The sequence below is a fragment of the Homo sapiens genome, chromosome 7 (genome assembly GCF_000001405.40).
Source record: "Homo sapiens chromosome 7, GRCh38.p14 Primary Assembly".
In the NCBI taxonomy this organism is placed as follows: Eukaryota; Metazoa; Chordata; class Mammalia; order Primates; family Hominidae; genus Homo; species Homo sapiens.
In genome coordinates, this window is record NC_000007.14 from 110,316,656 (window position 1) to 110,318,606 (window position 1,951).

The following is a 1,951-nucleotide window of genomic DNA, read 5'->3' on the forward strand; positions in this document are numbered from 1 at the left end:
AAAAGCTGATGTACCTTCCCTGCCCTCACAGAGCTGTCAGAGAGCTTCCATTCTCAGGATGAAGATATATCAACAGTGATGCAACAATCTAAAAAGAGGCTTATGAGAGGGAAATTAAGGGGAGCAACAGAGGAGCCTAATCAAGTACAAGAATGAGAGAAGACTGAGACCTAAAAGATAAGTGTGAGGAAGCCAGAAGAGTAAGAGCATGTTACAGGAAAATGGGAACATAGGCCAAAAAGTAGAGGTAAAGATAGGAGAACCTAGAGGGATTTACTTCAGTACAGAGAAAAGGGGATTGACTGAGAGATAAGGAAGAGAGGTAAGTGGGGAACAGATACTACAGGGCATTGCAAACCAGTGTTAAGGAGTTTGAGTTTTGGAAGGCAATAGTAACATTGAGAATTATAAAGATACCAGTCTTTCAGTAAGATCATGCTGGCTGCAATGTAGAGTATACGTTAGGAGAGTCTAAAACTTGACAAAAAAAAAGATCATTTTAGGAATCTAGGCAGGATGGTGGCATGAATTGGAGAGTGTGATGGAAAGATGTGAATGCATGAGTTAATTATGGTAGGATTTGGATTTTAAATGTAAGAGAACATAGTAGAGGAAGAAGTTACAGTTGATTTCCAGGTTACTATCAGGTTTCCATTCACTGGGATGAGAAAGGATGAGGACTGGAAAAAGATATGAATCTCACTTGTTTTGTTCAGGGCATTTAATCATGGCCCATGTCCTCTTGCTCCCCACCAAGGTACGTAAACTCTCAAATTCCAGGATTACATAAGTTTGCAAGCTACTGTGTTCAGACTCAGTCCAAGCTGCCAATTATATTTTATAAGCTGCCTCCCAGTCATCTATTATTGATATCAAAGAAAGAGTTGCAGTTTTGAAACCTGCAATTGATGGGTGGGACCCTCCTGGTTGCACCATCAATTTCAGGCATATAGAGTTACCCTTTGAAATTGAACTTTGAAAAGAGGCCATGGACCCTCTGCCTTGTTAGCCTCTTGGTGGTATAGATTTCAAGATGCAGTTTATAATTGCATTTCACACTTGATTTTTTTTCTTCTACTTTTCTTTCTCTGATGATGTGGATCTTAGAAATGCTGTGGATGGAGAAAAAAGAAATAAGCTCCCATGGAGAGAAGACTAAAAGGTGTCAGTAACTCTTTTCTCAAAGAAGAATGCACAGCAGGGAGTTGTGCTTTTTCTCTGCCTATAGCTGGCCAGGCAACTACATCATACTTGACGGATACCTTTTAGACTCATTATTTCCTCTTTGGTATGCTAGATATTTTATTCATATTGAAGGGCTCACAATGGGCAAAGGTTAGAAAACAGGAAGGGTAAGAGTAATTGAATGTTTCATTTAGAACACAGATAGGTCAAAAGGGCTGAAAAGCGGAAACATGCTTTCATGCTGAGTCAACTTCCATAACCCAGAGGAAGTTGTTACTGAGGGACTTCTGATCAAACAAAGCTATCAGAGCTTGAGGTTTTAGAGGATGCTTATTTACATTAAAGTAATGATGACTGTCTGAATGATGTCTGCATAAAACAGAAAGAGCAAATCCAAATAAAAGTCATCAGGTCACTGTGAGTCCTTTAGATCACAGGCAGGATTGCTGGGCTGAGAAGATCCATCTCCAATACAAACACTCAACAAAGGAGTAGCCAGCAAAAATTCCCTTTGTGTCTCATTTTTATACACACATACAAAATATTAGAAATTCATTTTAAGGATGGAAAGCAGAGAGAACAAGATAAAAATACTAGCATGTATTAGATATCTAGAATTGAGTATGGATTTCTGGGATTTTAAATTTCTCAGTTTTTTTTTCTATTCATTTTAGGATTTAAGCTACAGTAACGGGAATGTGGCTATGCTTGCTGGTGCCATATGAAAGAATTTGTAAACTTGAAGAAAATTAAATTATTTTATTAT

General features: G+C 38.1%; 1 annotated feature.

Moving 5' to 3' along the window:
- Positions 1,217–1,511: an enhancer, noted in NCBI's record as "tiled region #14344; HepG2 Activating non-DNase unmatched - State 24:Quies". NCBI's record gives its function as "activates a minimal TATA promoter and a strong SV40 promoter by Sharpr-MPRA in HepG2 cells {active_cell/tissue: HepG2}" and the evidence as "EXISTENCE:reporter gene assay evidence [ECO:0000049][PMID:27701403]".